Source organism: Homo sapiens, chromosome 9 (assembly GCF_000001405.40).
Source record: "Homo sapiens chromosome 9, GRCh38.p14 Primary Assembly".
NCBI lineage: Eukaryota > Metazoa > Chordata > Mammalia > Primates > Hominidae > Homo > Homo sapiens.
In genome coordinates, this window is record NC_000009.12 from 98,795,199 (window position 1) to 98,808,690 (window position 13,492).

At 48.5% G+C, this 13,492-nt stretch overlaps 2 protein-coding genes and 1 long non-coding RNA gene across 4 annotated transcripts in view, besides 6 other annotated features; 1 reads left to right on the forward strand and 2 right to left on the reverse strand.

Moving 5' to 3' along the window:
- Nucleotides 1-1,357, reverse strand: part of ANKS6 (ankyrin repeat and sterile alpha motif domain containing 6) — a 64,547-nt gene extending 63,190 nt beyond the window's left edge. The window contains exon 1 of the mRNA NM_173551.5: nucleotides 935-1,357. Coding sequence (NP_775822.3) covers nucleotides 935-1,293 — 359 coding nt within the window. The 5' untranslated portion in view covers nucleotides 1,294-1,357. The remainder of the gene's footprint in view (nucleotides 1-934) is intronic.
- Nucleotides 620-1,120: an enhancer, noted in NCBI's record as "H3K27ac hESC enhancer chr9:101558100-101558600 (GRCh37/hg19 assembly coordinates)". NCBI's record gives its function as "activates a minimal SCP1, AML or CMV promoter by ChIP-STARR-seq in naive H9 embryonic stem cells {active_cell/tissue: H9 hESC(naive)}" and the evidence as "EXISTENCE:reporter gene assay evidence [ECO:0000049][PMID:30033119]".
- Nucleotides 620-1,621: a biological region, named in NCBI's record as "H3K27ac hESC enhancers GRCh37_chr9:101558100-101558600 and GRCh37_chr9:101558601-101559101".
- Nucleotides 880-1,499: a silencer, noted in NCBI's record as "silent region_20121". NCBI's record gives its function as "represses an Ori minimal core promoter by ATAC-STARR-seq in GM12878 lymphoblastoid cells {active_cell/tissue: GM12878}" and the evidence as "EXISTENCE:reporter gene assay evidence [ECO:0000049][PMID:35858748]".
- Nucleotides 1,121-1,621: an enhancer, noted in NCBI's record as "H3K27ac hESC enhancer chr9:101558601-101559101 (GRCh37/hg19 assembly coordinates)". NCBI's record gives its function as "activates a minimal SCP1, AML or CMV promoter by ChIP-STARR-seq in naive H9 embryonic stem cells {active_cell/tissue: H9 hESC(naive)}" and the evidence as "EXISTENCE:reporter gene assay evidence [ECO:0000049][PMID:30033119]".
- Nucleotides 3,250-12,382, reverse strand: LOC124902229 (uncharacterized). The gene is made up of 2 exons (XR_007061689.1): nucleotides 11,573-12,382; nucleotides 3,250-4,411 (listed from the first exon to the last, which is right to left on the reverse strand). It is a non-coding gene; the product is annotated as an uncharacterized LOC124902229 (long non-coding RNA).
- Nucleotides 12,354-12,443: a silencer, noted in NCBI's record as "silent region_20122". NCBI's record gives its function as "represses an Ori minimal core promoter by ATAC-STARR-seq in GM12878 lymphoblastoid cells {active_cell/tissue: GM12878}" and the evidence as "EXISTENCE:reporter gene assay evidence [ECO:0000049][PMID:35858748]".
- The window catches only part of GALNT12 (polypeptide N-acetylgalactosaminyltransferase 12), a 42,412-nt gene continuing 41,391 nt past the window's right edge, over nucleotides 12,472-13,492 (forward strand). The window contains exon 1 of one of the 2 annotated variants that reach the window (NM_024642.5): nucleotides 12,472-12,871. In NM_024642.5, the coding sequence (NP_078918.3) occupies nucleotides 12,501-12,871 (371 nt within the window). In that variant the 5' untranslated portion in view covers nucleotides 12,472-12,500. Of the gene's footprint in view, nucleotides 13,009-13,492 lie in introns of both variants that reach the window. The other variant, XM_006717287.1, reaches the window with a different exon arrangement.
- Nucleotides 12,544-12,613: a silencer, noted in NCBI's record as "silent region_20123". NCBI's record gives its function as "represses an Ori minimal core promoter by ATAC-STARR-seq in GM12878 lymphoblastoid cells {active_cell/tissue: GM12878}" and the evidence as "EXISTENCE:reporter gene assay evidence [ECO:0000049][PMID:35858748]".

Sequence of the window (13,492 nt, forward strand, 5' to 3'; positions counted from 1 at the left end):
ATTCTGGTCTAGGCCACCATCACCTCTCACTCAGACTGCAGCAAACTCTACCTAACCAGCCTTTTTGACTCTAGCTTACCCTAGAGTATCTAATCTATTCTCACACTTCAAGGAAAGTAATTTTTCCAAAACGTAACTCTCATCCTGTCACTCATTCTGCCTAGAACCTTCCATGACTCCCTAGCACCTTCCATGACTCCCTAGCACCCTAGGATAGCTAGCGTTTCTCAGCTCCCACACTCCCCCAACTCCCTGGCATCTGCCTTCTCTCCAGGGAGGACTAGTACATCATTCTACTCATACATTCTACGCATACCTCATTCTACCAGTCCTACCAGCTCGTGCACCCAAGCCTTTGCATGGGCCTCCCATCATGCCTTCCCACAGCCCACTTGTAATGTCCTGGCTAATTCTCAGGTATCCGCAGGTCTCCACGTGGATATAAACATCTTTTCTACCAGAAACCTTCCCCCACGTCTCCAAAATGGGTCACCTGCCCCACAGCTACTCAAACCTTTCCGGTCAAGCTCGTTCCTTTGCCTGGCCTGCCCACCAATGCCCTGGGTGGGGACTCTGCCTGGGTCTCGCAGCACCCTCAACGCCAAGCCAGGAAGGGAAGGCAGGTTCTGAGGAAACTCTTACTGCAATAAGAAATGAATTAAATCTCTAAGGTTCTAAGTCTCTACAATTCTATTCGCTGTCTCCAGATTCTATTCTGAAAGGCCAAAATTTCTAAGAATCTGATTTTATGTTAATTCAAAAGTGTTTCCACGTCTATGCTCAAAGTTTACAAAAGACTACTCAAAGTTTACCATTCCAACTCTAAGGAGTCCTTAACTCTTCACCTCCCGGGGCATCCGGCCGCCGGGGACCGCGTCTCGGGCCAGCGCCGGGCACCACTCTGGTCCCGGGCCCCCGGGCCCCGCCGCCTCACCTGGCCGCCTGCATGAGCGCGCTCCAGCCGTAGTGGTTGCGGCTGTTGACCGAGGCACCGCGGCGCAGCAGGAAGCGCACCAGCGGTTCGTGGCCCCCGGCCGCGGCGAACTGCAGTGCGGTGTTGCCCGCCTCGTCCGAGCAATCCACGGGCACCGGAGCCCCGACTGCCCCCGCCGCTGCGGCCCCGGGCCCGGCCACCTCGGCCCCCGCCGGCTCCGCGCCCGCCTCCGGCTCCGCGCCGCGCTCGGCTGGCTCCGCCGCCCCCGGCTCCAGCAGCCGCCGCGCCGTCTCCGTGTCGCCCTGGTCACACGCGCGCAGCAGCAGCTGGAAGGCCGGGGGCAGCCCGCCCTCGCCCATCGCCGCCGCCACGCGCGGCCCGCTCCCGTCCGCCCCGCCGGCCGCGTCGGCTCCGCCCCCGGATACCGCCCGCAGGCGCCCCCTTCCGGCCACCCGCCCGCGCCGCGCGCCTACTGTGTGCCGGGAGCGCGCCGGGGCTAGGGCCGCGCGCCTGCTGTGTGCCGGGAGCGCGCTAGGGCCGGGGCTGCGCACCTCCAGTGCCCGTATTCGGGAGTCCAGGGACGCTCAGAGGAGCGCCCGCCGCAGACCCGCGTGTTCCCTTTTGCCTCTTCGGCGCCCTCTCGCCGCCCTGTCCCGGGGCTCCAGAAACTTCCTGTCAGGGCAGAGGTGGGAGCGGCCACGCCATCCCCTCTTCACGCTGTGGTCAGGGCCCTGGGCCCGGGTCTGAGTCCGCAGCTGCGTGGGCCTTGACTTTACTAGCGGGCTCCGCTGACCCCACCGCAGCCCCTGGCACTGAACCTGCCCTTCTAGAATAAGGAAGCGGCTGAATTAAGGAACGAACGGATTGTTTCCTCACAGTGTCCTGCGGTGCCCTTAATGTCGCTCCTTCATCTGGGCCAGGCTGCTGGGGCTAAAAGCGCCTCCTGTTCTCTCTCTCTCCCCCACCTTTTATTTCAACTATTATTATAGATTAAAGGGTACAGGTTTGTTACATGGGTAAATTGTTACATGGGTAAATTGCGCGACGCTGAAGCTTGTGGTCCCAACGATCCCGTCACCCAGGCAGTAAGCATAATACCCACCAAGAGGTTCTTCAGCCCAGAGTCCCCTCCATCCCTCCCTGGCCTAGCGATCCCCAGCGTTTGTTGTTCCCATCTTTGTGTCCATGTGTACTCAATGTTTAGCTCCCACTTATAAGTGAGAACATGCAGTATTTGGTTTTCTGTTCTTTTTAGGTCGCTTAGGATAATGGCCTCCAGCTTTATCCATGTTGCTGCAAAGGGCATGATTTCGTTCATTCTTATGGCTGCATAGTATTCCGTAGTATTCCATCATATTCTATCGTGTATATGCACCACATTTCTTTCATTCCTTCCCTCTCTTCCCTCCCTCCCTCCCTATCCCCCTTCCTTCCTCCCTCCCTCCCTCCCTTTCTCCCTCTCTCTCTCTCTCTCTCTCTCTCTTTTGACAGGGTCTTGCTCTGTCATCCAGGCTGGAGTGCAATGGTGCAATCTCTACTCACCACAACCTCTGCCTCCCAGGCTCAAGCAATCCTCCCACCTCAGCCTACCGAGTAGCTAGGACTGCAGGCAAGTGCCACCACACCCGGCTAATTTTTTGTATTTTTGGTTGAGAAAGGGTTTTACCATGTTGTCCGGCTGGTCTCAAAGTCCTGAGCTCAAGTGATTCACCTGCTGTGGCCTCCCAAAGTGCCAGGATTACAGGTGTGAGCCATCACATCTGGCTCTGTACCACATGTTCTTTATCCAATCTACTGTTGATGGGCACTTAGGTTGATTCCATACCCTTGCTATTGTAAATGGCACTGCAATGAATATACAGGTGTCTTTTTGATAGAATGAATTATTTTCCTTTGGGTATATACCTGGTAGTAGGTTTGCTGGGTCAAATAGTTCTATTTTAAGTTCTTTGAGAAATCTCCAAACTGCTTTCCACGGTGGCTGAACTAGTTTGCATTCCCACCAACAGTGTATTTTCTCCACAGCCTTAGCAGCACCTATTGTTTTTTGACTTTTTAATAATTGACATTCTGACTGGTGTAGATGATATCTCATTGTGGTTTTGATTTGCATTTCTCTGATGATTAATGATGTTGCGCATTTGTTTCATATGTTTGTTGGCTGCCTGTATGTCTTCTTTTGAGAAGTGTCTGTTCATGCCCTTTGCAGAGACACAACGAAAAAAAGAAAACTTCAGGCCAATATTCCTGAAAAACATAGCTGCAAAAATCCTCAATGACATACTACAAACAGAATCCAGCAGCACATCAAAAAGTCAATTCACCATGATCAAGTAGGCTTTATTTCTGGAATGCAAGGTTGGCTCAACATGCGCAAATCAATACATGTGATTCACCATATAAACAGAATCAAAAACAAAAACCATATAATCATCTCAATAGATGCAGAAAAGGCCTTCAATAAAATCCAACATCCCTTTATAATAAAAATCTTCAAAACAGATTAGGCATTGAAGGAACATACCTCAAAATAATAACAGCCATCTATGACAAACCCATAGCCAACATCATATTAAACAGGCAAAAGCTGGAAGAAGACTCTCACCACTCCTATTCAACATAGTACTGGAAGTCCTAGCCAGACAACCAGGTAAGAGAAAGAAATAAAAGGCATTCAAATAGGAAAAGAAAAAGTCGAACACTCTGTCTTTGCGGAGAGTATGAATCTATACATAGAAAACCCTACAGAGTTTGCCAAAAGGCTCCTGGAAATGATAAACAAATTCAGTAAAGTTTCAGGACAGAAAATCAATGTATAAAAAGCAATAGCAGTTTGATATGCCAATAACATTCTAGCTGAGAACAAAATTAAGAACACAACCTCATTTACAATGGTCACAAAGAAAATGAAATACCTTCTCTCTCTTTATCAGCGGTCCTTGAAGTGTGTCCCACACAGCAGTAGCACCATCACCAGCTGCAACACTGTTACAAACGCAGATTTTTCTGGCCCTACCCAAGATCTACTGAATCAGAAATTCTGGGTGTGGGTTCAGCAACCTATATTTTAACAAGCCCTCTGGGTGATTCTGATGCATGCTAAAGTTGGAGACCCACGTTTGATCTTCATTGCACGCCTGCCATCCACCGGGGAGGGCCCAGATGATCATCCCTAGGTTGCAGAGGAGGCAACCGAGGCACAAAGAGGTTGTGTCTTGCCAAAGACTCCACAACTATTCTGCAGGAGAGCTGTGAGTAGGACTCAGGTCTTCTGACATCGAGTCCAACTCTCTTTCCATTTTCAACAAATATGTATTGAGTGCCTGCCATTTCCAGACACTGTTTTAGGTGCTGGAAAAGCTGCAGGATTTAGTACAAGGTTCTTCTGTAGCTCACAGATCCATGAGAGCCTGAGAACCAGTTCTGGAGGCCCCAAAGCCAGGAACAATGACCCAAATCTCATGCCGCAGCTGCACCCTGTAGGAAGATGGGGTTGGTTCAGGCCCTTTTTGGTGTTCCTGGCTTCAGATTCAGAGGCTGAGGTGACAGTGCCTGACTGGCCCAACTTGGGTCATGTGCTCATATAATAGCGGGAGGTAGTTTCTGCTTCAGAAGGTAGGGCACTCCCAAATGTAGGAAGGGGGTTCAGATGCTGGGCAGTCAAAAACGATAACAAGTGTTTGCTATGAAATATTCCCTCTGGACACCCTTTTTCTTTTGGGAAGCCTTTCTTCCCTACTCACAGTCTGTGTGCTTCAGTGGTTAGCACATATCCTGATTGGCTTCAGCCCAGGACTTTTTTTTTTTTGAGACGGAGTCCCACTCTCTCTCCCAGGCTGAGGTTCAGCGGCACAATTGCACCCCACAAACTGCAACCTCTGTCTCCTGGGTTCAAGTGATTCTCTGCGTTAGCCTCCCGAGTAGCTGGGATTACAGGCACCCACCACCATGCCCGGCTAATTTTTGTATTTTTAGTAGGTACGGGGTTTCACCACGTTGTCCAGGCTGGCCTCAAACTCCTGACCTCAAGTGATCTTCCTCCCTCAGCCTCCCAAAGTGCTGGGATTACAGGCATGAGCCACTGTGCCCAGCCCAGCCCAGGATTTTTGCTAAAGCAATTGAGAATGAGGCCCTCTCTGCTGAGGTTGCCAGCTATCAGGATGTCAGCCAAACTGGTGCTCACTTTGCCACCACTTGAAGACAGCCTGCCTAAGAGTGAAGTCACCACAAAAGAAAGCAAAACCAAGTGATAGAAAGAGACTAAGTTAGAAAATCCCTCCCCACATTCTTTTTGGTGAGGTTTATTTTGAGCAGCATTGTTGTCACTTGCATTCCAAGCCTTAACAAATGGATAATTTACTTTTTTTGTAAATGAATGGGTTCATACTACGCATGCTATTCTTGAATCTTGCTTTTTTTTTTCTTTTTCCATTAACAAATGTCTTGGGCACCTTTCCATGTAGGTAAATACAGACTGCTGCATTTTAAAAAAATGATTGCGGCCCGGCGATGTGGCTCATACCTGTAATCAATCCTAGCACTTTGGGAGGCTGAGGCAGTCGGATTGCCTGAGCTCAGGAGTTTGAAACCAGCCTGGGCAACACGGTGAAACCCTGTCTCTACTAAAAATACAAAAAAATTAGCCAGGCATGGTGGCATGTGCCTGTAGTCCCAGCTACTTGGGAGGCTGAGGCAGAAGAATTGCTTGAACCTGGGAGGTGGAGGTTGCAGTGAGCCGAGATCACACCACTGCACTCCAGCCTGAGCGACAGAGCGAGACTCCATCTCCAAAAAAATTTTAATAAATAAATAAATGATAGCATGAAACACCATTCAGCAGACGTACCATAATTTATTTAATCATTTAATTTTTATTTCTATTTTATATTTTTTGAAATGGAGTCTCACTCTGTCATCCAGGCTAGAGTGCAGTGGTGCAATCTTGGCTCACTGAAACCTCTGCCTCCTGAGTTCAAGCGATTCTCCTGCCTTAGTCTATGGAGTAGCTGGGATCACAGATGCCCGCCACCACACCAAGCTAATTTTTGTATTTTTAGTAGAGACGGGGTTTTGCCATGTTGGCCAGGCTGGTCTTGAACTCCTGACCTCAAGTGATCCACCCGCCTCGGCCTCCCAAAGTGCTGGGATTACAGGCATGAACCACTGTTCCCAGCCCATTTAATCATTTTAGAATAAGGCACAGTTGAGGCCGAGTATGGCGGTTCATGCCTGTAATCCCAGCACTTTGGGAGGTTAAGGGGGGTGGATTGCTTGAGACCAGGAGTTCAAGACCAGCCTGGCCAACATGGTGAAATCCCATCTCTAATACAAAAAAAAATAGCCAGGTGTGGTGGCACATGCCTGTAATCCCAGCTACCTAGGTGGCCGAGGCACGAGAATCGCTTGAACCTGAGAGGCAGAGGTTACAGTGAGCTGAGACTGCACCACTGTACTCCAGCCTGGGTGACAGAGCAAGACTCTCAAACAAACAAACAAACAAACAAACAGAAACAAGCACAGTTAGCTTGTTTCCAGTTTTCTGCTCTTATAAAAAATACTGCATTGGACAGCGCTTGTAGCAGCCAGGGTCCCACCAGGAAACAGATGGCACACTTGGCTGAGGAGCTGGGGAATGCTTACTAAAGGACCATTTACAGAAGTATAGGCAGGATTTACTAAGAGCCACAAGGGATGGTGCAGTACTCCAGGGCTGGTAATAGTACAGAGCTGTTACCATCCCAGGCCTGAAGGGGAAAAGGGGAGAGCAGGTACTGGAATTCTGCAAGAGAGAAAAATTGCAGAGACCTACCTGATAGGAGCTACAGCCTTTGGTAGAGGGACAGAGCCAACCCACAGCAACTCAGTAGGGAGCTATCCTCAGAGGAATAAAAACCTCTGACCTCACTCTCCTCCTGCCCTCTGATCTCCTGCCAGTGCTCCTCATTAGTAAACCCTACTGGAAGCTAGAGTCTTGGAGCCTGCTGATATAGTTCATGCAGTCAGCCTTCCAGGGCACAGAACAGGGTGAAGAGAAACAGCAGGGACAAATGGACGATGTCTAGCACCTTGCTGCTCAATCTGGGGTTCTTGGACCAGCAGCACTGGTATCACCAGGGAGCTTGTTAGAAATGTGGCATCTTGGGCCCACACCAGACCTGCTTAACCAGATCTAGCATTTCAACAGGATCCCCAGGTGACTCACCATACCATACATTAAAGTTTGTGAAGCACAGATCCAGCACATCTTTCTATGCAAGTATAGCTATAGCCTTATTGTTTATGAATTCTCTTCCAGCCTTTTTTTTTTTCCATTGGTCCCTGTGTTGGTTTGGATCCTCTAAGAATCAGATGCCTAGATGTTTGTTTGTTTGTTTGTTTTCTGGGAAAAATACCTACAAAGGACAAAGAGGGAAAGTGTGTAATCCCAGCATTTTGGGAGGCCGAGATGGGTGGACCACTTGAGGTCAGGAGTTTGAGACCAGCCTGGCCAACATGGTGAAACCCCATCTATACTACAATACCAAAAAAATTAGCCAGGTGTGGTGGTGCGTGCCTTTAATCCCAGCTACTTGGTAGGCTGAGGCATGAGAATCGCTGGAACCTGGGAGGCGGAGGTTGCAGTGAGCAGAGATCACACCTCTGCACTCCAGCCTGGGCGACAGAGTGAGACTCCGTCTCAAAAAAAAAAAAAAAAAAAAGAGGGAAAGGGGAAAGTCGGGGAAAAGGGATGGGGAGCCCTCAGACCATGATGCAGGTCTGATACTTGAGAAAGGAGAATGGGAAGTGACGAGGGAAAGTCTCAGCCAGGCAGATGGGGGATTCCCAAGCACGGGTTGTGTCCTATATCATGCAGATGTGGCCAGGTTCTGGTACCACACCATGCTCGGTCACTGACTGGGAGTAGCCAGAGGATACCACAAAGGATCCAAAGGCATAGCCACTGGGAGCTGGCAGTCAACCGTGTTTCCCCTAAAAGTTTCTCCCAAAGGGTAATCTGAGCAATGCACCTCATTTCCAACACAATTCCTTTCAACCAACTTTTTTAAATTAAAATTTTTTCTTAATTTTGAATTTTTTAGGCATGGTATCTTGCTTTATTGCCCAGGCTGGAGTGTAGAGGCTATTCACAGACACCATCGTGGTGCACTGCAGCTTCAAATTCCTGGGCTCCAGTGATCTTTCTGCCTCAGCCTCCTGAGTAGCTGGGACTATAGGTGTGTGCCACGGTACCAGGCTCAGCCAGCATTTACTAAATACCTTCTGTGTGCTAGGCATTATGTGTGTTGAATGATAGAAACATGGCCTCATGGCTCCCAGGAAATCCCACATGACTGCAGAACAGTGGGGTCTATGAGTTTTCATCGTCAATTCAAAGGAAGATGTCACAGTTTGGAGGATGCCACTGACAGCTTCATGGCAGAGCTTGGCTACAAGTTGGGCAGAAATGATGGGTGGGGTCTAGGTCGTTGTAGGAAAAAGGAGGAAACATATTGGAAGGAGAGAGCAGGGGGACAGGAGGACCACAGACTGACAGAGTGGATTAGGCAGGAGATAAGGAAGGCTTAGAAGTAAAATAATCTCGAAAGAGTACAATATTTACTTTAAATGTCTTTTTTTTCCTAATAAGGTAACGATTGTTTTAAAGAATTCTGATGTTGTAGAAATATAGAATGTAAACTCCTTGAGATCAATGGCTTTGGATATTGTTTACCTCAAATCCCCAGAATCTAGCACACTGACTCCCAGATGGTAGGTGATCAATAAATATTTGTTGAAAAAAAAACAAATAAATGGAACAAAAGTGAAAGGACCACAGAATCTCACCCATCAGAAGTAAATATAATATAGTTAATGGTTTGGTAAATATTCCTTTAGATTTTTTCCCCTTTCATATGTTAATATATATTATTTTACAAAAATAGGATCATACTATTCATATAGCTCCACGACTTGCTTCTCTTTTCTTTACAATGCATCTTGAACACATGTGTATGTTAAATGCCTACAACTAACTCATGCTTGCAAATAGCACTGTGGTATATTATGGTATTGTACGGATGTGCAATATTTTATTTTATAATCTCTTGATGGAAATTTGGATTGTTTCCAACTTTTTGCTTTTATATACAATACTGCCATAAGCTTCCTTGTATGCATATCTTTTGAGCACTTACGAGTCTATGTTTGTTGGATAGATTCCTAGATGTGGAATTGCAAAATCAAAAAGATGTTAATATTAACATTTCTAATAAATGTTGCCTAATTGCTTTCCAAAAGGTTATACTAGTTTGCATTCCTACCAACAGTGGATGAGAGTGTTTTTTCACATCCTTGCCAACACTGGAATTAATAGCCATTTTCATTTTTGCCAGTCTGATAGGTGAAAAAATATTTCAGGGTAGGTTTATTTTGTATGTATTTTAGAGAGATCGAGCATATTTTCATACTTTTATAAACTATTTATATCCTTTTGGGTGGGAACTGTCTATTTAAATCCTTTGACCATTTTTATTTCTGTTTGTTCTCTTTATTTCCCTATTGATTCACATACTGGGTAAATGTCATCTGCAAATATCTCTTTCTGACTTGCCTTTTGTTTCTGGACTTTGTATTATACTGGAAGCCTTACAGAATTCAAAATTTTTATATAGTCACATTTAGAAATATTTTCCATATGGTCTCTGGTTTTTCTCATTCAATACTTTTATAATTAAATTCCTTCCCTTCCCTTCCTTCCTTCCTTCCTTTTTTTGCTTATTTACTGTGGCATCTTCAGATCATTTGGAATTTATTTTGATGTAAAGTGTGATGTTGGGACTTGATTTGAATTTTTTCCAAATGGTTATCAAGTTGTCCCAATTATTACTTGAATTAGGCACATGTTCCCCACTAATATTTGAAATACCACATCTACCATAGATCATATTAAACTCTAAAAGGAATGTAATAACTCCTATGAAGAGAGCTAATATGACAAATTAAAAGCATCTTCTAGAGATATCTACTTGTTGGTGAGCAGCCGATGACATAACATGGTACTGTTAGTGAACAGATAAGCCCCCTAAAAATAGCAATAAACCCAAGGGCTTTACCTCTGTTGAAAAGATGCTAGATTTCCAACAAGCTCCCAGGTGGTACCAATGCTTCTGGTCTAAATATCATACTTCACTCAGCAAGGTGCTGGACATCTTCCCTTTGCCTTACTGACACTCTCTCCACTCTGTTTTGTGCCCCGGGAGGCTGACTGTGCAGACTGTATCACTCAATCTTCTCAACAACCCTGTTCAGGTGGTGCTATCATTAGATCACCATTTAATAGATGAGCAAATTGAGCCGAGATAAGTAAAGCAACTTGCCTGAGGTCACACTGCAATTCGTGATGGGGCTGGGTTGAGCTCAGGCAAGTGGGCTCCAAGGTTGTGTTCCGACCTCCTAAGCTAAGCTGCCTTTGCATCTCATTGCAGCCTGCCCAACAGTGAGTGGTGTGGTGGGAAATCCTGGACTGTGAGTCAGGAGACCCAGATACAAATCCTCCCTCTACCGCTTGCATGTTGTGTAACCTTGGGCAAGTTGCTTCACTTCTTGAGCCTACATATTCTCATCTGTCAACCTTGCAAGGTTGTCATAGGGTGAAATGAGAAAGTACATGAAAAAGAAAGTCCAGCAGTTTACAGCACACAGTGTGTGCTCAGTAAACAATAGCTTTTATCTGTTACCTGGGGCTTAAGTCCATGTCTTGTAAGGCCTAATTGCATTTCTCTTTTCTCTGTATCTGAACCTCTATTGAGAAGCATTCCAATTTGGCAAGCGGATCCAAGACATTATGAATTGTAATCCTTGTCTGTTTTCTAATCTGACCGCAGATCTTAAATGTGTTGGGTGTCTGAACAGAGGCCAAAGGGCTCAGGTCCAGACCTACCTAACACAACCGCCTTCTGGCATTAACCAGCAGCCTCCATTCTGCGTGGGAAGCAGGCGGGGCCCTGAGCACTGTGGGAAGAGCCACTTCCCTCTAGTCTAATATTAGCAGCAGGTTGTCCTGAGTGGGAGCTGCTTTGCATGGTTCATCCCAAAACCCACCCCCCTCCTGCAACCTGAGGGAGATTTCCTCTGGGGATACCAGTAGCCAAAGGCTGTATGAAGACAACAGCAAGTCAGATTCTACCTCTACCTGAGCCGCCAAGTTCAAGGTCCTCTCCCCACCCTGTGTCTCAGACCCCGCATTTATCAATGAGATAATTGGACCAGATTTGTGCTTTTTAAACTTTCTGGGCTTCTGGTCTCCTTGAGAATATTTGATAAAAAGCTTTGGACCAACTTCCCATGGTAAAACAAACAACAACAAATAGAGCTTACACTCTATCCTTCTACAGGGGATACAGAATGATTCTTTTCCCTGAGCTAGACACCAGCAGAGGGAGTTCCAGATTAATTTAAGATATGATTTGAAATCTCTGCTATCACTTTTACATTCAGATATCTGTGTAGACATTACTTCATCAGAGAAGCTTTCCAAAACCCCCAAACTAGATCAAGTTCTACTATTCTAAGCCCTTTTAGCGCCCTGTAATTCTTCTTCAAAATACTTAACACAATTCTAATTATCTTTTTAATATTTGTCTACTCCATTAGACTTACTTCGTCCCTGGCAGCTCAAGGCTCCCACAGCAGTGATCTCATGAACAGGGCGGCAGCTTCATGGCCTTTTTTGGTTGTTGTTTAATAGAAACAGGATCTCGCTTTGTCATCCAGGCTGCAGCGCAGTGGCGCATAGTTCACGGTAACCTCCAATTCCTGGGCTCACACAATCCTCCTGCTTCAGCATCCTGAGTAGCTGGCACTATAGGCACGTGCCACCATGCATGGCTAATTCTGAAATTTTTCTGTAGAGATGGGAGTCTTGCTATGTTGACCAGTCTCGTTTTAAGCTCCTGGCTTCAAGTGATCCTCCTATCTCGGCCTGGGATTACAGGTGTGAACTATCATGTACAGCCTTCATGGCCTTTTGCTCCTAGCCTCAGAGGTCACAGAGCTATCACGAGGCGAGCCAGGCGAGGGTTTGCTATTCAAGGACTCCAAAGAGTATGGCAGAGGCTGGGCCTGCAGAAGTCAGTGGGGCAGCGTGGTGTCTGTTGATCTCATCGCACCTCCATCTCCTCATCTGTAAAAGGGAGCTCGTAATCCTAGTTGATGGTTGTTTTATTGGACTGTGTAAAGATCAGATGAGATAATGGCAGTAGAATTCATAACACCCTGCAGGGTGTATTCAGCCAACACTTAGCGCCTACAATATGCCAGGCGCTAAGGGTTTTACCACCACTATCTCTTTAATAATGCACCATAGCCCAAGAAGGAAGATGCAAGTCTCAGCCAGCCCACTTGAAGACCCTGCCGAAATGAGCCACCCCGGGGGCTGCGCTTGGGCTGGCGCGGGGCTGGACGGAAAGGGGGCGGCGCGCAGGTGGGGCGGGCCGGGGGCGGGGCGGCACGGCGGTTCCGGGATCCGGGTCCTGGCCTCCACCGCCGCCTTGGGGCGCGCAGATCGCTGGCTGCAGTTGGCGGGCGCATGTGGGGGCGCACGGCGCGGCGGCGCTGCCCGCGGGAACTGCGGCGCGGCCGGGAGGCGCTGTTGGTGCTCCTGGCGCTACTGGCGTTGGCCGGGCTGGGCTCGGTGCTGCGGGCGCAGCGTGGGGCCGGGGCCGGGGCTGCCGAGCCGGGACCCCCGCGCACCCCGCGCCCCGGGCGGCGCGAGCCGGTCATGCCGCGGCCGCCGGTGCCGGCGAACGCGCTGGGCGCGCGGGGCGAGGCGGTGCGGCTGCAGCTGCAGGGCGAGGAGCTGCGGCTGCAGGAGGAGAGCGTGCGGCTGCACCAGATTAACATCTACCTCAGCGACCGCATCTCACTGCACCGCCGCCTGCCCGAGCGCTGGAACCCGCTGTGAGTGCACAGCTCTGGGGAGGAAGCCCGCCCTCAGAGCCCCGGGCCTCAGTTTCTCCATCAGAGCAGTGGCAGGGCGGGGAGCTGGGGTCTCCAGGATGGCGCGTCTTATTGAGTCTTTCTCCGAAGACGATAGTGTAAGAGCTCACATGGGGGCGGGGAGGCAAGAAAGTAAAAAAGACGAAAGTAGAAAAAAAATTACCAGAAATTGGCAAGTCTGTTAGTGATCTCTTAGCTCCCTTCTCCTTGAGAAGTTATCATCTCCCTGAAAAGGTGAGGGTCAGGGCTAAGCAGAAGGGTTTAAGGCGAGGACCCCCCAGCACCCAAAGGACAACCCCGCTCTGCCCGCCTCGCAGTGCCTCCGCGAAACTGACAACTCCTCCGGGCGGTGACCGGCTCCATTCATTCTCTGTGTGTGCCAGGGCCTAAGGGACAAACAAGATGCGAGGGAGCGCCCCACAGGTGAAGCGAAAGATGGCTGTAAGGCCCCCTCAGCGCTAGAAAGCCTCCTTGTGCTCTCCCTGGGCATTGGATTTCTGAGCTTTGGGTGGAGGAAGGCGGGAAGGGGCACGGGGTGGGAAGGGCTCCTTCTGGCCGTGATCCACCCCAGCTCACTCCTGT